At 38.3% G+C, this 26,324-nt stretch overlaps 1 long non-coding RNA gene across 1 annotated transcript in view, besides 1 other annotated feature; it reads right to left on the reverse strand.

Annotated features, from left to right (window-relative positions):
- Nucleotides 1-12,283: 12,283 nt before the first annotated feature.
- The window catches only part of LINC02906 (long intergenic non-protein coding RNA 2906), a 32,756-nt gene continuing 18,715 nt past the window's right edge, over nt 12,284-26,324 (reverse strand). The window contains exons 2-3 of the long non-coding RNA NR_161372.1: nt 12,933-13,000; nt 12,284-12,683 (exon numbers count right to left, since the gene is read on the reverse strand). This is a non-coding gene — a long non-coding RNA (long intergenic non-protein coding RNA 2906). The remainder of the gene's footprint in view (nt 12,684-12,932; nt 13,001-26,324) is intronic.
- Nucleotides 12,408-13,607: an enhancer, noted in NCBI's record as "BRD4-independent group 4 enhancer chr8:94146448-94147647 (GRCh37/hg19 assembly coordinates)". NCBI's record gives its function as "activates an origin of replication core promoter dependent on BRD2, P300/CBP, MED14 and CDK7 cofactors, and independent of BRD4, by STARR-seq in HCT116 cells {active_cell/tissue: HCT116}" and the evidence as "EXISTENCE:reporter gene assay evidence [ECO:0000049][PMID:35650434]".

A 26,324-nucleotide genomic window follows, 5' to 3' on the forward strand; every position in this document is an offset into this window, starting at 1 on the left:
GACTCTCTGGAACTTTAGTCCCTAGGATAATTCATCCCGCAATGGTTGTGGCCAGCCTGTGGCTTACATTTCTATCCTGTTATCTGTAGCTTTGATGTGATTGAATAGTAAGTCCAAGTGCAGCAAAACAGCAATATGAAGAGACGCTCACCATGCCCTCAGTCATGAGGAAAATAGAACTGAAATAGTCAACAGTTTTTAGGTATCTGAAAACTCAATTCAAATTGACAAGGACAAAAATAGCTTATTAGCAAATATAACTGGAAAGAATGGAGGGAGGTAGCATAATGCCATCATCGTTGGGATAACAGAACTTGGCCAATGTCACCAAGGACTCAAAATTACTATGTCACTTTGTCCTGCATTCCTCTCTGTTAGCTAAGTGAAGAAAAGAGTGTACCCTCAGATACCCAAGCAATAATTTGAACAAAAATACCAACTCTTTTTCTTATTGGACTATTTAGTCATATTCCCAAATCTGAACCAATCATTTTGGCCAGGAAATTGAATGTGTTAATTGTATTGTGTCACATTGTGTTAATTGTATTGTGTCACTGTGTTCCACAGTGTGGAAGTAGATGTGGTCTCAACATCACCCAAACCCACACATAACAAATAACAGAAATGAAGTGGTCTCCCAAAAGAAACTGAGGTTAGTATTTTCAGAAGAAAGAAGATGGAATGTTAGCTGGCTGGGATTGTGGAGCAGAAACCACAAATGGCAACTCTAAGAATTTTGATTAGACATGTTGCAAAGTAGGTTATCTGTGTTCATGTTGTTTCCAAAAAGCAGAACAACACACAAGGTGTCCTGTAATTGGGTAAAACTCATCAAAAGAGAAACTAGGAATAGTCAATATTCCAAAATTCATAATAGACTTTTAGAAACTGATATGGTTTGGCAGTTACCCCCATGATGCTGTTCTCATAAGTGAGTACTCACAAGATCTGATGGTTTTATAAGGGACCTTTCCGCCTTTTGCTCAGCACTTCTCCTTGCTGTCACCATGTGAAGGAGGACATGTTTGCTTCCTCATCCACCATGATTGTAAGTTTCCTGAGGCCTCCCCAGCCCTGTGGAACTGTGAGTCAATTAAACCTCTTTCCTTTATAAACACACAGTCTTGGGTATGTCTTTATTAGCACCATGGGAATGGACTAATACATAAACACAGGACTGAAGGGCAGAAGGAAATGTGTAAGTTGAGAACAGAAGTCTTCAGTCCTAGGAGGACCAGGGCACCCAAGCCGGTTACTAAGGCAGGCTCCAGGCAAGGATCCAGTCAACTGAAGGGGTGTGCTGGATGAGGCTGAATCTTATGACAAAGCCAAAATTGTATCATAAGTACCAAAAGTATCAAAATTGGATCATAGCATTGACTCTGACTTAGGCAAGAGTGTGAGGAAGAGTGGAGAAGCCAAGAGTGAAGTTAGACTCCCTGAATCCCCACATGAAAAGATCAAGGTCAGAAGGTTTCAACTGATCTACAGCTGTGGGGATGGTAGCATTTAAACGATTGATTTGACGCACATCTGCTGGACTCAAAAATCTCATAAAAAATGCATTTCTTGTCTAACTCTGAACTCAGGTTTTCTTGGCTGTATACTTCCAAATGAGTATCAAATGTGTGGGTCTTTTTTGGGAAATGAACTGAAAATCTGAGTCCAAGTCTATGAAATTTTTCTGGTAGGAAATTATCACTCTTGCTCCTCAAAAAAGAATACAAGTAGAGCAAATGTCAGTACCAGGAGATGAAGGGTGACCTATTGGCATGGCAGATAAATGCAGAGACCTAGTTCCAGGCAGACACTGTATGAGCTATGGTAAATGGAAGCTTCCTGTGTGGCCTCTGGAATGGTGGTGTTGAGGCATTTGGCACTTTAAGTGGTAATAATTCCTAGATAGTACCCTCCTGGCAGTGGAGGCAGCCACTTGTCCCAAAGTCCTCCATAGCTAAGACCTTTTCCTGTTAGCAGACTTTGTAGTGCCCCTTGCTCTTTGGTATCTCAGACAACCCTGGACAGCATCTAGACCTTCCACCACTCATCATCCTCTCAGGCTCTCAGCCACCTCTGAGAAGTGCTGAGTCCATCACTCCCTCAAAGACCTGATAGCTGGAAGATGTGGTTAAGTCCCAAATTCTACACAGCACAGGGACCCCAGTGCAAATCAAAATGGTCCAGTAAAGCTGGGCACAGTGGCTCATGCCTATGATCCCAGCACTTCGGGAAGCCCAGGCAGGAGATTTGCTTGAGCTCAGGAATTTGAGATCAGCCTGGACAAAATAGTAAGACTTTATCTCTACAAAAGAAATTTTTTTTTAATTAGGTGTGAGTAGCACGTGCCTGAGAGGCCAAGGCTGAAGGATCACTTGAGCCCAGAGGTCAAGGCTGCAGTGAGCCATAATTGCACCATTGCACTCTAGCTTGGGTGACAGCACAAGATCCTGTCTCAAAATTTTTTTTAAAAGAGGTCCATTAATCTTGGTTATCCAATATCATTCAAGATATATCTTTAAACTAAATTTCAAAAGAGTAACTTTGGGTTACATTAGGATGCTATATGGCCTATAAAAGTCATTCAGAAAATATATCCTGAGTAAACAAAAAATCATGACAAAATTACTAATAATACAATTTACACAAGATTTCTCTTTGTCTCTTTCTCTCTGTCTCTGTGTGTGTGTGTGTGTGTGTGTGTCTCTCTCCATATATATATATCTCTCTCTCCTCCACACACCACACGATTCTTCATTTCTACCAAACAGTATCTGCCCTACATAACATGAGAGAGCAGAAACACGATTTCCACTGCCACTTTGTCATCTCTTGGACATAACCTCTGATGAGAGACACCACCCATTCAGTAAAAGAACAGTATCCCACTTCTCCAGCCTCATAAAAATATAAAGCTAATAGCCACCTCGAACCTGCTCAAGCAGATCGGATACGAGCTCTCTGCGGTTAATTTCTGAAGCTTCGATAAGGCCTCAAGTCTATTTTTCTTTTTAAGATCCATTGCCACGCATCACCTTGAAGAACTGTTTTCCCCCCGCACAGATATAATATAAAATGAAAAATGAAGTGCATTTTAGATCTATATGCCTATAAAACTGTGTTCTCCCATTTATAATTCAGGGAAATGTATTTTTCTGAAATTAGATTGTGGAATATTTTTGGTAGTGAGTCTCCCATGTCACCTTCCCTAGAAACCAAGTTCCTTCATGATTTGCAGTCACTGAGGAAGGATGAAGGTAAGCGTTCTCAAAGACACAGGGTCTGACATCCACTTGAGGGGTTTGGCATTCATCTTAGGAAACAGTCAATGATGTTTGCAGAGTGGTCGAAATTTTTTAAAAATTCAATTAATTCAGTAACAGGTAATAAAAATTCAAAGGCAACTCACCAGTTATGAGGCTAAATGACAGAGTCATTATGTGTCCTGTCAAATGAGAAGATCACACCTTTCTTTTTTTCTTTACCAAGAAGTTACACAATGGATATTCTTTAGATGCTTTCTTTTCCTCAGTTTTGATTGGAAAAAGAAGAGTATTATTTTGCCCTCAGTGAAACGAATGCATCATCTCATCAGCAATTGTTTGGTCAATTGGCAAGGGTAAGAATAGGCAGGAAACAGAAAACTTTGCCTTGTGGCCTAATTATTTATTTCTATTTATGTGCGTAGCTACCCTCAGCATTGTAGTTTAGTACTTGTATGCCAATCAATTAAAATGTTCTATTTTCTGAAACAGTAGGCACTTCCAAAGTAAAAAAAAAAAAAAAAAAAAACTGATTTCAAAGTATAGCAAGGAATCCAGATTAACCCCATGTCATAGTCACAAAGAGATTTTCCAAGTTTAGCACAATTTCTGACACAGAGTAGGTATTTGGCAGATATTTGTTGAATCGTTGAATTGAGCAGCAGCAGCCTAAGGTGTATCGGCAGGTATGAAGGACTTGTGAAGAGGATATTCTTCTCTATGAAGCACTCTAGAGGGCACCTGATGAAACCAGTTTGCAGAGGGAAGCCCAGGAGTCATTGGGGGAGAATCAGAGGCGAAGCCCAGGAGTCATTCGGGGAGAATCAGAGGCTGGAGGCCTTGTACCAGCAGTCATTTGTTACTGTTAAAATGGCCCTAATTTGAACCCACACTAGTATGACCTGAGGAATTCTGGGTGGCAAAACAAGAAGAGAGATGGACCTTTCTTCATCTTTACTGAGGAGGGATTGTAAAAGATACTTTCCATTGTGTAAGAGCATGAGGGTAGACCTCTGTCTGGCTCTTTCCTGTCAAACACTGGAGCCTTCCTTGCCCTACTCAGATAGCAAAGAATACAATGAGTGGCCTAATTAGGGCTCCACTCAGACATCTTCCTTTCGTGTTTTGATCTATACCCACCAAAAAGTAATGACCAGACCTCTTATACAACAACATCCAGTTTAAAACCAAGCCTGTGAGAGCCGCTGTCTTAAAATTTTCAGACAAAAATTGCATTTAACCACTAATAACCATTTTGAGCATTTAATTTTTGACTGAAGCATAAACCCTTGATGAACAAAGCTTCCGATTTCTGACAAGCATCGACTAGACCCTCACTTGCTATGGACGTTCCAAAGTCTTGCCTGGTATGCTATAAAAAGCAGATACAGTTCCTCTATGAACATGACCTGTCTTCCAGGCTCACTAAGGAGTGAGCTTGGCAGATTATAACCATATAGGATCCTAAAAGAAATCCAGAATCAGGGGATAAATATCATGGGATTAACATTTTGTGGAAATTATCTGGGGCAAAGATATATTCCTACTTAAACCTCAAGAAAATGCGTCCCTTAAAGGACTAAAATAGTGGTCACAGACATTTAGATTAAGGTTCCACGGTGCATTGTTTCTATCTCCTGGTTACTTGGTCCAGTAGCTTGCTTTGGGCAGGCCTAGCTTATCAGAAAAGGGATTTTATTATCCTACTGCTGAACCATTAATAATAACAAAAAATAATAAAGTTTTGGGCCAGGCGCAGTGGCTCACGCCTGTAATCCCAGCACTTTGTGAGGCCGAGACAGGTGGATCACTGGGTCAGGAGTTCAAGACCAGCCTGGCCAAGATGATGAAACCCTGTCTCTACTAAAAATACAAAAATTAGCTGGGCCTGGTGGCACGCACCTGTAATCCCAGCTACTCGGGAGACTGAGGCAGAAGAATCAATTGAACCCGGGCGTCAGAAGTTGTAGTGAGCCGAGATTGCACCACTGCCCTCCAGCCTGGGCGACAGAGCAAGACTCCATCTCAAAATAAATAAATACATAAAGTTTTAAATTAGATCTGATTGGAAGATCTTTCATTTGTTCAGGGGCAAAACTGGGGTGCGTGGGGATATGTGGGTGAGTGGAGAGTGAATGGGAGGTAGGTATTGCAAAACAGAATGTAAAAGATTGAGACCTCAGGAGATTGACATTTCAGACCCATGCTGTACCAGACTAGTGATGCTCAGCTGTAGTGGGACTCAGGAAAGTCACAGTAGCCTAAAATTAGATGTGGGTCACTCAGGAAGGGTGAAAATGCTACCATTTAATCACCACAACTGCATAAGTGAAACCATGCAACATTCTGTGATGTTCCCACTACCGTCTAGTGTTATTTCCTGACAGGAAAGGGCTGATAAAGGACATGCTTTGAAAATCTTACCATTGTTGTAAAGACAAAACTGTGGGCAAGAAATGTTAGAACACTGGGGAGGAGGGGCAGAGGAAAGAACATCTGGGGGCCATACATGACACTGCAGCAGATTTATTCCTCACTAAGCCTGCTGTTGTATCATTTTACCCTTCCAGAAAATGGAGATGAAGCGTTCACTTATTATACCTTACCAAGGTAAGCTTCATACATTAATGTAAAATATTTTGAAAATGTCACATAAAATCTATTATAGAAATACAAGATGTTACCAGTGATTTTTCTCTAGCAGGATATACCAGAGGGGAATCGCCTCCAACAGAAATGGAATTGTAGTTTCTAGCCCCCCTTGCTGGACAATCAATGTAAAAACATCAGTTTCTCAGGCTTCCAGCTGCACAGCAGATGTTAGTGGGAGAGAAGGTTGGGGCAGTGCAAACTGGTTTGGCTCACCCGTCAGAATCCTTGTTCACAGCCTCATTTCAAGAGATCTCACTGGGTTCCCATTTCGGCTGAGAGTGTTTAGAGGGAAAGACTGCCCTGTCTCCCTTCCAAGTAGAGAAAAATAATAATAATAAAGCTCTTCAGAAATCAATATATATTCCAATTTCCTTAAGTGAGCCGTGGCATTTTTACAACTTGTCTGTGAAATTTCATAACCACATTCAGAAACACAACTTCTACTGGGGTAGCAGTCCTAACACAGAAGAGGGAAGGGGATGGAAGTTAGTCACATCTAACCAAAACAACAAGGAGCATTCGAGTCAGCAGAATGTAATTACTGGGATGGAAATGGTGGCCGGGACAGTGGGCTTTAGTCACTCACGTGATCTTATGAGAAGTACCATCCGATCTTTGATAATGACACTGACACACTCAGAAAGAGAGACCAATATAGGATGCTTTTAACAGGTGCTCTCCTCTCTTCTCTGCCACCTTACATGTCTAAAAGAGGTTAGTGAACCGAACCTTTGAAGGACATTTTGAAGGCAGCAGACACAGCTTGAATGTTGGGTGGTTGTTTTTTAATGGACTTGTCAGCAGCCATTCTCATTTGCAATAGAATTCCCTTTCTCTCCTACCCTTTCTCAGGTTTGTGTTTTCCCAGTGCTGTGCCAATGCTGAATAATTTACAAGGATAGAAAAAGAAAACTGTCACTATCACAGTCCCAGGGCTCTCCACTCACTCATCTGTCACATGGTCAAATGTCACTGGTGCCATTATTTGTGAGGGGTGAGATTAACGCCACGTAGCTACTTGCCTTGTTTCTTTATCTATTGTTAATGGTACTGAACTCCAAATGTATTTTTTAGAAGAGCTGGTTGCCATTTCCGCAACAAATGTCCCACCTAAGGAAATCCAAATAACTGACCTCCCCATTCCATCTCACCCTTTCATCTGTCTTCATCTGTTTCTTCTTATCTGGCATTTCCACCCACAGCATAAAAATACAATCTAGTTAGAACTATATTCAGAAGAAATGCCAGCATTCAAAGTGATCCCAGTCATGTTGGTTCTGTTCCTTATTAGGAGAGAGAGAGAAAAAAAAGGCCATCCTGGTTGCAATAATAAAGAGTCACAGTGAATCACAGAAGGAGCGGACAAAAGATCCCCTGCACACAGATGGCACTTTGCAGAAGGGAAATCAGAGGCACGGCACTCAGGGGAATTACCAAAGTACAGAAATGCGAGCATCAACATTTTTTTTCTTTATTAAGAGGGTAAAATAGCAGTATTGATTATATAAAAGAAAAAGAAAAAAATATAAAATACTAATAATCATCTAGTTTTAATATAATAAAGAAAATAAATTTTACATAGGTAGATGCTGACATTAACCCATGAAAATTTATTGCTGTGTTCTAAGCATGGAAGAACTCCCATCCCTGATTGAAGACCAGGCTCTCCGAAGAATGGTGAAATGTATTAAAATTCCTATCTATTGGTGTCTCAAGTGCGAATATTCAGAAATAATAATGATAGCTCGTGTCAATCAAGTACTTAGTAAATGCTTTAAATGTACCATTACTGTTAATGCTTATAAAGATTGCTACTGTTAGTACCTCCATTTTACAGATAAGAAAACTGAGGCACAAAATGTTTAAGTAAATGATCCAAGTAAGTGGTAGTGAACCTGAGACCGGTCATAGAGTAAGACACTAAACTTCCATTTGAAAAATGTGTATCTACACACTACTGAAGAATTGAGGGAAGATTGAAAAATTTAATTCACTCTTATGAGCTTGGGTCAGGTTAACAGCCTTACAAAGCCTACACCATTTGTTTCTGCCTCTCCTCGTTTGAGTGCCAGTTGACTGAATTAAATTCTTAAGAATTAACTTGCTCCTGTCCTATTGAGTGAGCTAATTTGAAATGACTAGAATTTATTTGCTTCCTACTCTTTTTCATGACATATGATTGGATCTCGGCTCTGGTTCATTAACAGGTAAGCTACAGGCACAAGTTATCCTGTCCCAACTTGGCTTCTCATCCTTGAGTGTTTCTTTGTGTTTCCTTTTGGTTTGATTTGGGGAAAATCCTGATATTTTATCTCAGGTGATACCTTAGAAGGGTAGATAAAAACACAGAGCAGCTCTGATCCCATTAGCTGCCTTAAAAGGGCAGGGAGGAATTGAGGAGATCTGCTATCTTATTCACCTCTAGCAGATAAGTGCTCTCAGAGAGCTACAAAGGCAAAATCCCCAAGGAACCTACAATAAAGACACCTGGGTCATCTTGTGGAGCGATGCCAGCTGAAACCCAGAGGCTGTTTCTGTGAATATATAAAATGACCTGGAGAATCCAACTTCACTCTGAACACACTGATCACTTTTTCCAAATGTCAAATGAAAACCTGAAATTTCAAGGTAAAGATCTGGAACCTTCTATCTCTTAGTTACGGGGACAGAGATTGGCAATAATGCAATCATCTGGGATGTTATCAGGTCCATGAGCAAATGGATGCTGCATGTGGAAGGAGACTTCAGTGAACAGATTCAGCACATAGACAGTCATTTGCTCCAACTGATTTCTATTTGTGCTGATGGTGACTCCAAGTCATCAGATCTGATGGAAAATTATCACTCCTTAGGCACAACTAGTGGTGGATACAGGTGCTTTGGAATTAACCAGTGGCTAGATTTGTGGTTCCTTCACATTGAACCGATCTTTTCTAATTCCAGATACTTAGAATACAAAAGGAAAAAAAAAAAACTTAAAAAAAAGTGGTTGTGCAAACTTGTTGTAGGAAACTACTAATGGTTACCCTTAAAGGTTTTTTAAAATGTAGGTATTTTTGGAGGAAGATTGAGCCCATTCTTGCAGAAGCAACAACTGCTGAAAACAAAGTTTATAAATTGCACTGTGATCCCTGACCCCTTGAATGACAAAAAGAGGCAACATAAGCCTTCTTGTATAGGCTCACTTAAGAATCAACTTTTGCAATATTGTTGCCCAATAAAATACTACTGTCATTAAACCTCAAGAGAAAATGCGATTTGAGAAAGCTGTAAGGGCTCTTTGTAGAGAAAATTCCAAGAGCACTGAATGGCCATGAGGTCTTCCTTCGACTTCCAAAATTTCTCTTACTTCAAAGTTTCTGACAAAGTTCCCTTAGCATTCTTCATGGGACTGGCTTTTATATTTTCTAGGCCAATAAACATGCCTTGATAGAAAAACAATTGTTTAAGGGGAAATATTAAAGAATTTATCTTGAAAGTCATTTCAAAAGATTCATTATCTGGCTTCATTGTCTGTCAGAATCTTAACTTTCTGAGCCCTTTAGTGTGTAAATCATTCTTTACTTCACCAAGGAAATCCACGAAAATTGTCAGTGAAAGCCAAACACATAGATTCATTCATTCATTCATTCATTCATTCAACCAACAAATGATTATCATTGCAGATATGACATGCAAGTCACACTGCTATACACAAGTGATCAAAAGGATAAGATACATGTCTAACTTAAAGAGGTTTTTATTCTACTGGGAGAAAAGGACATACAAACTGAAAAATAAAACATGTTATGGAAAATAATGGAAACAGAGCCAGAGTATTATGGATAATACCAGACTCAAGATTTTCTGTGATTTTTTTTTTTTTTTTGGCCTGGACTGGGCCACTTGCCTTTGCATAATATAACCAGGGGTATCATTTTAAAAATGAATATAAACATTTCTATAGAAACCTCTACTTTCAGAGAGGAAGTTTTAAAGTATATTAACATATTTATGTGTGACAATGAATGTGGCCTATTAACAGCAGAATTAATCATTCATTAAAGCAAACTTGAAAAGAATGCTCACTTAATAACATACTTTTATTTATTATATAAAATTACATAATTCAAAATTTTTTAACATTTATACTCACCTTCATACACATTAGTGAGGTTGTAATGCGTATTTGATTTCTTAATTCAGGCATCAGCAAGCTACCCTCAGCCTACTCAGGTGTGCAAACATTTTTGATCAAAGAAGGTCTTAGTGAAAATAGGATCTTGAAGGTAATGATAAGTATTACTAAAAAATAATTTGGGAACAACTGAATTGTACACTTTGTAGGACCCTTATAAAAGGTCTGTGCTATGGTCTGAATGTTTATGTTGGCTCCTTTTGCCTTGCCACCACGTGAGGATGCAGGAAGAAGACATCATTTACAAATCAGTGAGTGAGCCCTCACCACACAATAAATCTGCAGGAGCCTTGATCTTAGGCTTTTTAGCCTCCAGAACTGTGAGCAAGGAATTTCTATTGTTTTTAATTACCCAGCCTAAGGCATTTTGTTACAGAGGCTCAAATAGTCTAAGAGAGTCTGTCTATATTCATATACACATATGTATAATATACAGGCACATTCATAATGACCTTAAGAATCATAAAGATCAATCTTACATACATGCTGTCACCATAGGTCTCAGATCCTTCAATGTAGTCTCGATTCCAGGTATTCTCTCTGATTTTAAGACTGTGCCAGAAAATGTGTCCATATTTGAGTTTTAATATGTATGTATTACTTTGTTTTAGAAAATATTATTGATTTTTAAATTATTGTTACTAAAGTAATAGGCATTCCAAGAGAGCAAGCTTCAGTTCATGGTCATTAGTTGTGCAGTAGGATTATGTGGAACAAGATGGAAATTATATATAGCATTGGTAACATGTGTTCCTAGAAATTCATTAACACATGGATTTTTGAAATATGAAAACAGCAATCTGCTTGAAGGTTTTCATAGTAGTCAAAGATCAGTATGGACATTTGCAAGCCTTCCCGAAGATGACTGGACAAAATAATGGGAGTGAATGTTATTATTTTCTTTTACTGGAAGATTTCTTTTGTCTGATTAGTAATATGGATACTGTGAGCTTCTGAAAGAAAAAAATCTTTCCAAACAGATGGAATTCATTTAAATAAGAAAAGTAAGAGGAGTGCAGACAGAAGCGCAATGGCTCTTGCTATTATCATATGAAAGTACTGTCTAGATCATATGAGTAACAGCCAAGTAAGCCAGCCATGATGTCCCATGTTATAATAGTCCACCGCTGAACATTTCACATGGGCCATGTGTGGAGTTTTTAAATCTTTCTGACTTTTATGAAATACTGCATTACTATTATTGGTGTTATTATAGTTATCACCTTACTTCATATTATGTCGCTTTTGACAAACTTTAAATTATCATACAGATGTTAATATCCACAGTTCAACAAAGCAGATGCACCACATACTTGTAAAATAAGCTCCATGTGTTTAAGGTTGCAATGAACCTCTTTTCTTTAACCAGCACCATCACTCAGTAACAGAGCTAGCCATCTCCATGTAAGTATGTGTGTATGCATCTAAAATAGTAATGGATTAGGACTCTTTCCTTGCAAAAGAAGAGGAATCAAGTTTATTTAACTTTAGAAAGAAAGGGACATTGCTAATTAAGACACAAAGATATTCTATGTCTGAATCTGAGATCTCCTCTGAAAATCTGCTTACTCATTCTCTCTCTTTTAACTGTCTTTCTTTGCCTTCCAGCAACATGTGGATTTATGATGACATCCTATAGCTTCTGGGTTTAGGCTTTGTCATTCAACAAACCAACTTAGACTGGACTCCTCTTTTCATCCTAATTTGAAAATGCCTGGAAAAAGAGTTTGATTGTATGAGCTTAGGTCAAACAAAGTTATTGGACTTCTAATCCAATAACTTTGGTCAAGGGGGTAGGATCCAGAACAAATATGGCTCCTGAGGTTGCCAGGCATGTAAATAAGAGAAGCATTGAAGAGTCAAAAGGCATCTTTATAAGCTAGACAGACTATTCCAAATGTTACAGTCATAAATAACTAATAATGTATGGCAATTTATATTTTACAAAGATGTCATATGTATTTTCAAATTTTATCTCATTTGATCCTCACAACACCCTTCAGTAGACGTAGATATCATTATTCTTATATTTCAGATGAGGAAACAGAAAGTACAAAGACTTAGTGACACAGCTGGACTACAAAGGAGCTACTACTAAACCTCAGGTTTTCTGATTCGAAATTCAGCACTCTTCTTCCTATTCTATGGGAACAGTAGTTTCCGATTTTGTCAGAGTATGAATAAAACTTGAAAACAGGTTTCTGATCTTTATTTTTTTTCCTAAAACAGGACCTCTATTTTCTTTCCTGAGAAGGTTCCCCTCGCCACACTCTGACCAAATGTAACTGGGGTTCCTCCAGTGATTGTCCCACATGTGGTCACAGGCAATTTACCAACCAGATTTACCATGAAGGGTCTGCTTTATTCAACTTTTCCTGCCATTGCTTTCTTCATTAATTCCACTGCCACTGATGGGCTCTGAAGACACTCACTGTTGCCTCCATAGGCAGAGCCCATCCTCGGGCGGCAGATATTCTTTCCAAAGGAGCTGTGTCTGCTGTTCCCCGAACTGCCTTCTTTGAAGTTGCAGAGCCATGCTGAGATTCCTGTGAATGAGGTAATGGCCTTCCATGCCTCTCATCACACCGTTTCACCTGTGCCATAATGCAACTCTGCTTGAGCCAAGTCTCACCAGGTATGTCAAATGTAAATTTCCTCTTTTAATTCTGACCTCTCTCTTAATAGCATCTCCAATAAAGTAAAAGAGAACATATAGACAGGAAACATGATCCTGGACATCCCTGGCACCTCTCCGTCTCTCCCATGTACTACTTTTCTTTCATTCATTCATCGCCCTTTCATGTATTCATTCACCCAGAAAATGATTCTTGTTTAGTGCTTACCATATGCCGTGTGTCGAGAGACACAGTGGTCAACTGGAGAGTCAAGGTTTCTCCCCTCAGGCTCACTTCTAGTTAAGAGAGGGGAGGGAAAACAAACACATGAACAAATAAAGCGAATAATTTCTGATAGGAAGAAAATATATCAGGGTATTGGGGATGTTAATATCTAGTGAGGTAAAGGGGAAACTTGGATGGGCCTCATTTGAAGAATTGACAATCTATAAATCCGATTTATGTAAAACATATCATTTTTGCAAAGAGAAGCAAGTGGAAAACTTCAGGCCAAGGAAAGAATGAGTATAAAGGCTTTGAAGAGGAAATAGCTTGGTGTCTTTGAGGAAAAAGAAGACTAGAGTCTTAGGAGAGTAGCAAGAGGTAAGGTCAGAAAGGTAGAAAGAAGCTAGGTCATGGGGAGTTTTGTAGTCTACAGGAAGAAAGTTAAATCTTATTCTAAGTGCAATGAAAAAACACCAAAAGTTTTTCAGCAGATAGCATAACAGTTTTAAATGATCATTCTGGCTATTGTAGGGAAAATAAAACATTGGCATTAAGAAAACCCTATTCCTTCCTTCCTTGTACCATAAATAAATGAGTACATTCTCATGAATATAAAAGTATTGCAAATACTTGCTTGGGAAGAAGAGGGAGGATTTGCTGTCTAAATTGAAGTACTGAATAAGATATGATTCTTCCACATGTATACATCAGCACAACTTTTTGAATCCACAATACATGTCAAATTGTACATTTAGCACTGGATAACCTAAGCAGCATACAAGGCCTCTCCTCCAGGAGCTTTCAGTCCAAAAGAAGGTGCAGAGAAGAAAAGAAACAATTTCAATTCAGTGTTATATTAGTTATATCTTGCTGTGTTTCAAACCACCCCAAACTTAGTGGCTAAAAATAACATGCTTTTATCATCTCACAATTTCTGTGGGAAGAGAATTTGGGAGTAACTTAGCTAGGTGGTCTGGCTCAGGGTCTCTCATAAGATTGCAAGCAAGATGTTGGCCAGGGTTACAGTCATCTGAAAGTTTGACTGGAGCTTAAGAATCTGTTTCCAAGATGGCGCCCTCACACAGCTCTTGGCTGGAAGCCTTGGATCCTTGCCATGAGAACTCTTCATGAAGGTATTTGAATTTCTTCATGACATGGCAGCTAGCTTTCCCCAGAGAGAGCAATCCAAGAGAGTGCAAGAATGAACACACAAGGTCTTTTTACGACCTAATCTTGAAAATGACACACAGTGACTTCTACTACATTCTATTCTTCAGAAGAAAGTCACTCAGTAGAACCCAAACTCAGGACAGGGGAATTAGGTTTCACCTAATGTGAAGGAAGGGGTGGCAAAGGGTTATGGGGCATCCCTTAAAATCACTATCCACAAATGTGATAAAGTAATGTTATGCAGGCAAATAGTGGCATCCTTAAATTAGACTTGGAGAATTTGAAAAGCCTTCCCACAGGAAAGTTAAGACTGGGAGTAGTAAGTGAAGAAGAGTTCAAAGAGCACCTTAGGCAGAAAGAAGAGTTAGGAAAATGTCTCTCCAAATAAGAAAGCGTGATGCATCAGGAAAATGGCAGTGCGGCATCTCACTGAATCTCTGAAGTTATCAGCTGTAGCAGGGCCCTTCATTTTATACACCAACAAGAAACAAAAATCGCTGCCACTTAAATGGGACAAATTATTGATTGTAAAACACATCTTAATTTTAGAAGTGTGAAGATATGAAATGAAATCAAAGTGCAACTTGGAATCAATGAAATTGGTAGTTTGCTATTGAAAGGGCTTAGAGTAAGGTAGGAGAGTGTGAAGTTGAAGCTGGAAAGGTAACATGGGCCGGATGATGAGTGTATCAGGTCAGTCATGTGTTCATATAAAGAAATACCTGCAACTAGGTAATTTATAAAGAAAAGAGGTTTAATTGGCTCGTGGTCTGCAGGCTGTACAGGAAGCATGGTGCCAGCATCTGCTCAGCTTCTGGAGAGGTCTCAGGGAGCTTTTACTCATGGTGGAAGGTAAGTAGGAACAAGCACATTACATGGTCAGAGTAGGAGCAAGAGCAGAGAGGAGGTGCCACACACTTTTAAATGACCAGATCTCATGAGAACTCAGTATCACAAGGACAGCACCAAGGGCATGGTGCTACACCATTCATGAGAAATCCACCGCTATGACCCAATCACCTCCTACCAGACCCCACCTCCAACACTGGGGATTACAATTTGACATGAAAGTCAGAGGGGACACATATGCAAACTACATCAATGCGGGATCCTAGAAGCCTCTAAGTTTAGTCTTTAGCCCATTGTCATTGGGAAGCCTTGGAGGTTTTAAAACAATGGTGAGTACTCAGATTTGTATTTTAGAAAGATCACTGTGGCTGCAGTGCATAAAATAACTTGAAGGAAGGCAAGGATACCAGTTAGGTGTTGGTTGTATTAAAGATCCAGAACAGATAAGATGGTGACTTGAACAAAAATTAGTGACAGTAGACGGATTGCAGAGATATTAAAGAAAAAAATCAACCAGAGCTAGTGATTAATTGGATGTGGGGGTGGGAGAAAAGAGAGTGGGCTCTATAATATTAAAACACCGCACCTCCATAAATTTTACACGATGACAATATGTAGAGTTTTAATACCATTCTGATTGTTATTAATTACTATTATTGGCATCATTATTCTTATCACTTCATATTTTATTATCTTGCTGGGACTAGATGAATTCATGTTATTTAGAGAAACAGCATGATATAGTGAAAAGTGCAGGGTCTGGGGAGACAAAAGAAAGGTTGTTATGCAATGCCGCCTTGATCCTGTAGTAGCAAGTGAATTTGGGCAAGATGTATGACTTCTCCAAGACTGTTTTCTCATCTTTTAAATGAAGATAGCAATTTCTCCTCTGCTGGTGAAACAGGGGAAGTTTATGCTAAGTGTCTGACTTAGTGCTTCATTGCTTGACATACAGTGGGTGCCCAATTAATGGTCGCTATTATTATTACATTCATATAGCACTTAATTTGACAGGCCAAATGACCATTTAGTTGGTTATTTTTCAGAGCAATTTTTTGAAATAATGGAGAAGATAATGAAAATGGATGACGCTATTAAGGCAGGTGAGTGATAGAGGGATTCATATTGTAGCTTCTACCCTAGTCTACCATGGGTATTACAGAGAAATAATCATATATGTTTAAGTTCAACAGTCTATGTGCAGGGTATTCTGCCTATGCATAGCAGATCATTTTGCAAAGGATGTTAGACTCTAATTTTCCCACAATTAGGCAGGTTGTTAATGGGTATTTTATAAATTTTTAAAGACAAGTTTCATTGTCAAGGACAAGTTTCATTGTCAAGGAAGTTTAAGAAATGCTGGGATTTGTTAAACTAGTTCCTTTTCTGCAGAATTTACCAAAGCTTTAAATATTCTGAAGTGTGCTATAAATCTCCAAGAAGGGAGATAAGATGCAGCATCTTCCAAACTTATTTGATGATGGAACTCTTTTGAGACTAGTTTTCCACAGAACACGCATTTGGGAAATTTTGCAGCAGACTGTATTTTCTTGAATATCTGCATCTTGTATGCATCCTGTCTCTACCCTACTTTAGAAATAGCCACCATATCTGAGCAACACAGTAAAAAGATCTTTTTTCATGACTCAGGAAAAGAGAATCTTAAAAGCACCCAAATCTAAGGACCTGTTTTTAAAAATTACTTGACATTGATTGTCAGAAGAAAAAAAAGAAACAATAAAATTCATGGAAAGTATTGAAAAGTTAACCATTCCCATTTCATTTTTATGAGTATATAAAATAAGATAAATAATGCCTATGGGTAACAAGATTGTATATCAATTTAAGGTACAAAAAAGCTTTTTCACGTATGTATTTAGACCAAATGGAAGCTATGAAGATGCCAAAACAATAAATACTCATCTTTAAAAGTGTGCATTTATATATCTTTCTTAATTATTTGGAATGTATCAGATAGATAAGGATATAGTCTTATATATATCTGCTAATTACAGCAGTGTACATAGAATTCTGGAATGTCACAGAAATCAGAGTAAGCTAAGCAATAGTACCCAGAAAAAAAGAAAAGGAAAGCAATCAATAGATGGCTATTAAATATTATTTTCAAGTAGTACTGGTTTCAGCATCAAATTTAATATCTGTAGTTCACAAAGGATTAAAGAGGCCAGTCTAGTTAAACACTCTAACTCATGCCCCATCCCAGAATACCTCTGAATGTAGCCTCACTTTCCTTGGCCAACCTCACTGACAAGGCTGAATGGCCTTATGCTTGATCCTGGGCACTTTAAGGTATGGTTTTCTAGGTTGGTCTGTGCCTTTATTAGCCTATTGGTTATCTTAGTTTTGATTTGGGGATTTCAATGTCTGACCAGCATATTTTCAATTGATTCCTTTACATGCTTTATGGAATTAATTTTTCTTCCCAGGAACAGAATTATAATGAACCCTTCATTGCTCCGAAATCATGTTGTTGGTGTACAACAGGCTATCTACATATTTCTAGAAAGATAATGGCTCCATGTAGCCCACTCACTTGTTTTTGTTGTTTTTCTTTTTTACTCTTGTAGCAAGTCTTTGTGTCAATTTTCAGAAGTATATGTACTGTACATTAGATTCTGTCCAACAAGCTCTCCCTGTGCAGTGATCCCTCGTATCATTGCTACAAATTGTCAGTGCCCCAGTGAAATGAAGATATTGATTTCTCCATAACTCCCTTCACCACCTCCATAGGAGTCTCTTTCTGTGGATTCAGAAAACGCATTAAAACCCCATGCTGTCATGAGGTAGATTAATGCCCTTGTGTCACAGCTCTCCTTGGAAACTGCATCAAACACCAAGCATTAGAACTGAATTAGGAGCCACGGAGACTTTTGAGCGTCTCAAGATTGCCACTCTCTTCTGTCCCACGTGAACAATAGATCCATTTGCAAATAGAGTCATGAAAATGAAAATGCCTGGGGACAGGAATGCACAGATGCCCTTGGGTCAGGTCCTCACACACTAAGCAGAGTGGACTGTCGTGTGGATAGTGAATTAGGCAGCATAATCAAACTGGGTAAGAAAGGCAGAGAACTGGCGATGTCAGATACCTGAAAATGCTTTTGAAATGTAACACAATAAATGATGTATAAGAAAAGAACTGACTTACCTGAGTGACTTCTTGTCGCATCAGAGGTTCCTTTATCCTGAAACTTTATCTAATACCTGCTTCCTGATGTCAGCTTTCTGGGATAACAGCTTTTGCTACTTCCTGGCTAAAACTTCATTACTTGCTTGTTATTCCTTGGAACTGATCTTCACTCAGGGCTGCCTGATAAACCTCTCAGTTGAGCTTATTACCTGCCTTTGTATTTTTATTAGTAAGTTATCATGTCCCTAATTTTAGACCAGAACCCTTTAAGCAGACTTGGCATTTCTGCCACCATATAAACCATTTCTCTCTGCTTTCCTTATAATAAAAAGAGCTTCACCTTCTAGACTGAGAGACAGTGTCCATTCTTTCCTTTAAGAACAGAAATAAGGCCGGGTGCAGTGGCTAATGGCTATAATCCCAACACTTTGGGTGGTCAATGTGGGAGGACTGCTTGAGCCCAGGAGTTCAAGGTCAGCCTGGGAAACATAGGGAGACCCTGTCTCTACAAAATAATAATAATAATAATAAATTAGCTGGGTGTGGTGGTATGCTCCTGTGGTCCCAGCTACTTGGGAGGCTGAGGTAGGAAGATCACTTAAATTGGGGAGGTTGAGACTGTAGTTATAGCACGACTATACTCCAGCCTAGGTGACAGATGAGACCCTATCTCAAAAGCAAACAAACAAAGAATAAAAATAACATATTTTTAAGGACTATATTTGAGTAGCACAGACCATAGATGATGATAATGACTATGAAAATCCCAATTACCTATTCATTAAAATAAAAACGTTAAAATAATTTAAATTATGTGGACATCAAGTACTTTAAAGCAATTGATTATTTTGTTCTTATTTATTCTGGTATTTCATTAAAGTAATATAGGCATGTGGTGAAACATCAAATAAGGCAAAAAGATTTGGAATGAAAAGCAAGTTTCTCCCTTTTACTATTGCCCCACCTCATCCTGGCCCATTCCCTCATCCATGTCCCCAAGCCAATCACATATGATTTTGGGGAGCTTTAGTTCCTTTGGTGTTTTTGCCAACCCCTTTAAATGATGAATTCCATCTGCAGTTTCCTTATTATTGACCTCAGGATTCAACTATTGGCCATGTGTTATGATAACCAGGGGAAGCCTACTTAAGCCACACAGATCCATTACTTCTTTATTTTTAATCCAAAAAATTACAGCTCTATTCCCAGTTCCTTTGAGGTTACCTCTGATTCCATCAATGTTTTCCAATTTTGACTCGCACAATTGTAAGTTATTTTAAATCTTCAAATGTGACAGAGGATATTTTTTCTTATTTGTATATATTTGTCTTAGAATGAAATTTTATTTTTGGCAATTGCAACACTTCAGGACAACTTTTGAAGCATACCTATAATTGCATTACAACACGGAATGTGAGTAAATAAAATTGAAGCTTGATTAAAATGAGGGCTGGAATGCAAAAGTTAAATAAAGAGCTTAAATGGTGAAAAAAACAAATTGGATTTCTAAACTTACTTTCACTTTGATCATCGAAGGTGTTATATATTACATTTTGATAGCTCAGAGAGTGACTCAAGTGGTAAATTTATAGAGTATCATTCCATTTAAATGAACAGCAGGATGTATTTGCAGAAACAGATTAATGTTTCTTGGAAATTTATTAACACCTGCTTGTTTTTCTACACTCCCGTTGCTATGCGGTTTTTCTATCTATCATATGTAAATTCCATTCTTATTTTTTAAAATAAAAGGTAATTAAACTGAAAGATCTGTTTCACACATTACAGCTAGTGAGGAGCGCAGTAAAACGTAGCCTGTGCCCCGTTGTTAAGAAGGATGATGAGGCATTTTGGAAAGCCTGAGTGTAGAACCCAAGAAGGCAGCAGAAAATGATTGTTTCTTCTTTCTCACTCACTATTAAGTAGGTACATTGGCTACATCTACCCAAATTGAAAAGGAGAAGAATTCTCCCATGGAGTTTGCTGCCTCCACAGCGGCTGATAAGGAAGGTTTTGGAGATATTCAAAAATCAGTGTGATGAGGTGGGAATGAGTGAGAAGGGGTTTCTCTCCCAAGCACCTAAATGACCCAGCATTCCCCTGGGAGTACAGAACAGACCCTGCTGGACCTGGGTACCCATCTCTCTGCCACCTTGTTTACTATCATGTTCTTGGTGCCAGATATGCAATCAGGCACAGCCTCACTCCAGTTAACAGATTAATGCCTGGTCTTTGTTCACTCTCACAATCCTTAGGACAGTGGAGGTGGGGGTTGTCTCACTATGAACTTTTGGAAATTCTTAATTCTCAAATCGAGAGCAGAATATAGTTCAACCTTTTTTTTTGTGATGCTTTCCTGAATCTTTAACATTGGAAGTGGAATATACAATTTCATCCCTCTACATCTTATGTTACCCCTAAATTTACCTGGGATCTTTTCTTTTTCTCTTAAAATGAAATTAAATAAACAATTTAAGGACAGAGACCCCCCTTTAAAATTTTGGTCTAAGGAGGCTACTTGTGTAATTGAAAGTGTATATTGTCTGCACCGATTTTTTTTTGAAAGGACATTGTTTGACCTAAACCTAAACACACCATACAATATGGTACATGGTATGATGCCAACCTATGACATATAGCTAAGTCAAGAAGGCTGAACTTTTTAAAGCTTCCACAATCCTATTTTATAATTAGTTACTCTCCTTTTAGGTTTGGTTACAAAAGATGAGTTTGTAACCAGAACAGTCAATACTTTGAAGTGGATGAAAAATCTAGAGTCTGAGAAACCCAGCATGTTGTTCAGAAGAGGCACCACAGATGGAAGCCAAATGAATTAAACTAGACCAGGTACCAGATAAACCGAGAGTCAGGAGCCAGGTATTAAAGGCAGATCAGGCAGAAATTTAGCATCATGATTAAATGATAATCCCCACCCTGTCTAACCTAGATCTTCATGACTCCAAAGCCCACACTGTGCCTCTCCTTAACCTTGCAGTTAAACACTCGCAAGAGATCAACTACAAATGTTTTTCCTTCCGCTGATTTTGCTGGGTGTTCTATTCACAACAACAACAAAATGCAATTGTAAATGCTGCATTATTATATTCGGTGGATAAACTATGGACCCAAATGAATGAGAAATACTTTAGTTAATGTAATAAGCTGGGTGGTTTGCAGCCTTGACCTTTCTCAGCATTGCTAGAAGCGCTTGCTTTGGAACTCATGGAATCTGAAAGGGCCACCCACAAAACAGCTCTTCTATGAGGATCACACAGCAGTGGTCAGGACCCTCCTGAAGTTCTCATAGCTTTGTAACCTGACAGCTGCCCTCATTTCCTGCAACTGCTGAATACTGAATACATACTGAGCACCTCCTATCCAGCATGCTCCCTCCACACCTTCCACCCCTCCTTCCTCTTTCTTTCTCTCTCTCTTTTTTTTTTTTTTCCTGAGACAGAGTCTTGCTCTGTCACCCAGGCTGCCTTGCTCACCCTAGTTCTATACTCATTCTTGCAAATATAAATTATAATATTCATTTTGGGGTGGCAAGGATCCTCACTCTCTGACAGTATGTTTCTAAAGGTGTGTTCTGACATCTCATGCACAGGGTCTATCTCCACTTTGCACATGTCTTCTCTTCACTGCTGTCCACACTGACATGGGTTCCTTCCCTTCTAGTTGCTTTTGGAAGCCCTTATATGCATATTGGTGTCTGAGGATTAGATCTGCTTCTAGACTCATTGAAATGGGTTCCTTTCCTTAAAAAATTCCAGTTATTGTTTCTGCATGATTTCTAGGAGTTTAAAGAAGAGATGATGAATTTTGCAGCCAAATTCATAAAAGAAATTCTACAAAAGTTATTTCAAAGGGAAAAGGTTCAGGACTTGTGAATGAATGGGGGAAAGGAACAAAAAAGTAAGCAAGAAAAAAAAAGAGGCATGTTGAATTAGTGTTAACTATGAGCAATAATTACTTTCTTCATATTTTATTAACTAATTCATTTACAATTGGCATGAAATGATAAGTAGGAATTTTTCCTCACTTATTCTTTTGCATGAAAAATCTGTTTTAATATTATTGGTATTTTACCTAAAAAGAAACTGAAGATGACAAGGGGCTAATACCCAGAATACACAAGGAACTCAAATAATTCAACAGCAAAAAAAAACCATATAATCCAACACAAACAAACAAATAAAAAGTGGGGACATGAATAGAGATTTCTCAAAAGAAGACAGACAAATGGCCGGCAGCTATTTGAAAAAATGATCAACATCACTAATCATCAGGGAAATGCAAATCAAAACCACAACGAGATATCATCTCACCCCAGTTAGAATGGCTATTATCAAAAAGACAAGAAATAACAACTGCTGGCAAGGATGCAGAGAAAAGGGAATGATTTTGGGTTGGGAATGTAAATTAGTACGGGCATTATAAAAAATAATATGGTGGTTTCTCAAAAAACTAAAAAGGGAACTATCATAAAATCTGGCAATCCCACTACTGGGTATTTACCCAAAGGAAAGGAAATCAATATATCAAAGGAATACCTGCACCTCCATGTTTACTGCAGCACCATTCACAATAGCCAAGATATGGAATCAACCTAAAGATCCACCAATGGATGCATGGATAAAGAAAATGAGATAGATATATACAAGGGAATACTATTTAGCCATAAAAAAAATCCTACCATTTACAGCAACATAGATGAAATTAGAGGTCATTATGGTAAGTGAAATAAGCCAGGTATAGAAAGACAAATATCACATGTTCTCATTCATATGTGGAAGCTTAAAGTAGATCTCTTTGAGGTAGAGAGTAGAGGCTTGGGGATGGTGGGAGGGGGATGAAGAAAGGTTGGTAAATGGGCACAAACACAGAGTTAGATAGAAGGAGCAAGTTCTGGTGTTCAATGGCACAGTCGCATGACTATAGTTAGCAAACATTTATTGTGTATCTCAAAATAACTAGAAGAAAAGATTTGAAGTATCTCAACACAAAGAAATAATAAATAATTGAAATGGTGGATATCCTAAATATCCTGATTTGATCACTATATAGTAGTATATGCATGTATCAAAATATCACATCTGCCATAAACATGCACAATTATTGTGCATCAATAAAAATATCTTAATAAATTAACTTAATTTTTTTAAAAAAGAAGCTGAAGACATAAGTTAACAGAGATGATAGTGCCTGTGCTCACCATACTCCACTAACTTTCAAACTCTTTCATGTACAAAAATGTCATATAAAATGGAAACATTTTCTTCAAAGAAATATTTACTATCTATAGTTTACCAAAAACTGTTCAAGCTTCCCAGAATAGCCAACTGAATGGCCATAATTTACTGGTCCATCTGTATTTCACACTATTCCCATTAATTAATTGAAACACTTCCTGATATCCTGCCAGATATCATTCTCCCTGCCATGTGCCCAAGCTGGTAGCAAACTGAGTATTCACTGTGTTCAATGTACTTGTCCTGCCCCTGGGCAGAAGTTGATGCCAGCCTTGCATCTTTCTATGGCCTCCCAACATTTTCCACACTGCCTGATAAAATAGTGCCCATTCTTCAAGGCCCATTTCAAAGTCCATTTTCTGCAAAAGTCTCTGCTGAGCCTTCCTTTGCTGTCAATTCAAAGGATCACCTTTGCAAAATATTAGTTGCATGGGAAATATTTCAATAATTTATTGAATAATCTGAATACAAATAAGCATTTGAAGACATATGACTTGCGATTAGATCCAAGAAAGCTTGAAGAGATTTGTAAATCTTTTGTATGGTTGTGGCAGCTGATACCAGAATAGAAAATAACTCTTTGAGGAATGCAGTGTAGGAGTAAAAAGCACAGGGGCTATAGCCTGAGGAAACACGGTGATCTACCCCAAGACTCAGGTAGGCATACAGATATTGACATCAGATATTCAGGAATGAGAGAGTCAAGAGCACTGCAGGTGTTCTTTTCCTGGTCTGATCATAGTGAGGAAAATATTTCTTTTTGTGGGTGGCTATTTGGAATGCTCTTTCTCATTATAATAATATCTTCTATTAAAAATCACAGCATCAATACAACTCATAATGGCACTTTTTCTTCAAGATTGCTTCTAAGTTCGTGCATGAAGTCTGGAGGAGCCACTTAAAAGATTTTGCCATGATAATCACCAAGGAGACCAGTGCCTGGGTATCATTTGAGGAAGGAAATAAGAAAGGTTTATTTAGTTTGGAATATCATGATATGTTAGAAAAAATAACATTTAGGTGATTGTTCACATTCTCTTTCTCCTTCTTTAAGCTCCAAGAAGAACTCCATCTCTGCCTGATTAATTTCTAAGGTTTTATTGTGTAGAATTGGGGTAATGGATGACAGGCACAATATAAAAACTTGATCTGATTGATCCATACTGGCAAGGACAGAGTTATTTATAGATAAGACCATGAGATGGGGATAGGGCGGTAATAAGAAAAGCAGTATCTAGTATGTGCTGTGTTTGAGGGAGAGTTTGGGAGAGTTTTGAGACAGAAGGAGGGATATTTGGTTAGCCACCATGACATGATTTCCAAAGATTCAGGTAATACATGGATGAAGGAATTTTTAAATTTTTTTTTAAATTTTGAATTCAGGAGGTACATGTGCAGATTTGTTAAAAGTGTGGTTTCCGTGATGCTAAGGTTTGGGCCGCTATTAAAACTCTTGTCCAAATAGTGAACATAGTATCCAGTAGAAGATTTTCAGCCCTTGCCCTCTTTCTTTTGGAGTCCCCAGAGTCCATTGTTCCCATTTTTATGTCCCTGTGGACCCAATGTTTAGCTCCCACTTATAAGTGGGAACACCTTTGAAACAAGTAATAAAAAACCTACTAACCAAAAAAGTCCTGGGCCAGATGGATTCACAGCTGAATTCTACCAGACATACAAACAAGAGCTGGTACCAGTCCTACTGAAATTATTCCAAATAATTGAGGAGGAGGGAATCCTCCTTCTAACTTGTTCTATGAAACCAGTAACATCCTGATACCAAAACCTGGCAAAGACACAACAAAAAAAGAAAAAAGCAAGTCAATAGCCCTGATGAACATAGACGCAAAAATCCTCAACAAAATACTAGCAAATAGAGTCAAGCAGCACATCAAAAAAGGTTAATTCATCATGATCAAGTAGGCTTTATTCCTGGGATGCAAGGTTGGTACAACATACACAAATCAATACATGTGATTCACCACATAAGCAGAATTAAAAACAAAAACCATATGATGTCTCAGTAGACACTGAAAAAACATTTGATAATATCCAACATCCCTTCATGATAAAAACCCTCAACAAACCAGGTATTGAAGGAACATACCTCAAAATAATAAGAGCCATCTATGATGAATCCACAGCCAACATCATACTAAATGGGCAAAAGATGGAAGTATTCCCCTTGAGAAGTAAAGGGAATTTTAAGAGAATTTTTGCTGTTTGTTATTAAGGAAACTTTTCTTTTGTCTGTTTTGTAGTGACTGTGCTATTTGGATTACTTTTAAAATGCTTTTGGATGTCAAAACTATTTTTTTCTTTCCTGAATGTGACAGTAGATGTGCCAGTTTCATAGCAGTTCCATTTAGGTTGCTGTGTTTGGGTTAACAGAGATATATAAATGCAGAAATGTCTTATAGACATTTAGAGATATATGACCTGAGTTTAGATCAGAGAAGGCTTGGAGAGATTTATAAATCTTTGTATGGTTGTGGCAGCTGACACTAGGGGAAGAAAGAGCTCTTTGAGGAATATAGTGCAGGAGCAAAAAGCACAGGGGCTAAAGCCTAAAGAAATGCAGTGATCTACACCAAGACTTGGTTAGACATAGAGATACTGACATTAGATATTTAGGAATGAAAAGGTAAGGTGCACTGTGGTTGGCTGAATAGGAATTTCAAGAAAATAGGCTTCATAAGGGTGACTGAGAAATGCAATCTTACCAAAATAGACTGAATATTTGGAGTATGATATCAAAGCAACAGGATGTGAGCAAGGAAACAGAAAACCCATAGGCAAGAACTGTGATAGTCTTTAAAGAGGAGAGTGGTGCCAATAGAAAGTGGCTACCAGCTACTTACCCGAATAGAGCAACTCTGTTTACCTGAATAAAGTAACAACTGGCATAGCTGTGTCAAGCTTTGTGAGGAAGATCTTTAAGGGGCAAGTTATTGAAATGAGGGTAGACAAAATGGA

Source organism: Homo sapiens, chromosome 8 (genome assembly GCF_000001405.40).
Source record: "Homo sapiens chromosome 8, GRCh38.p14 Primary Assembly".
NCBI classification, from domain to species: Eukaryota; Metazoa; Chordata; class Mammalia; order Primates; family Hominidae; genus Homo; species Homo sapiens.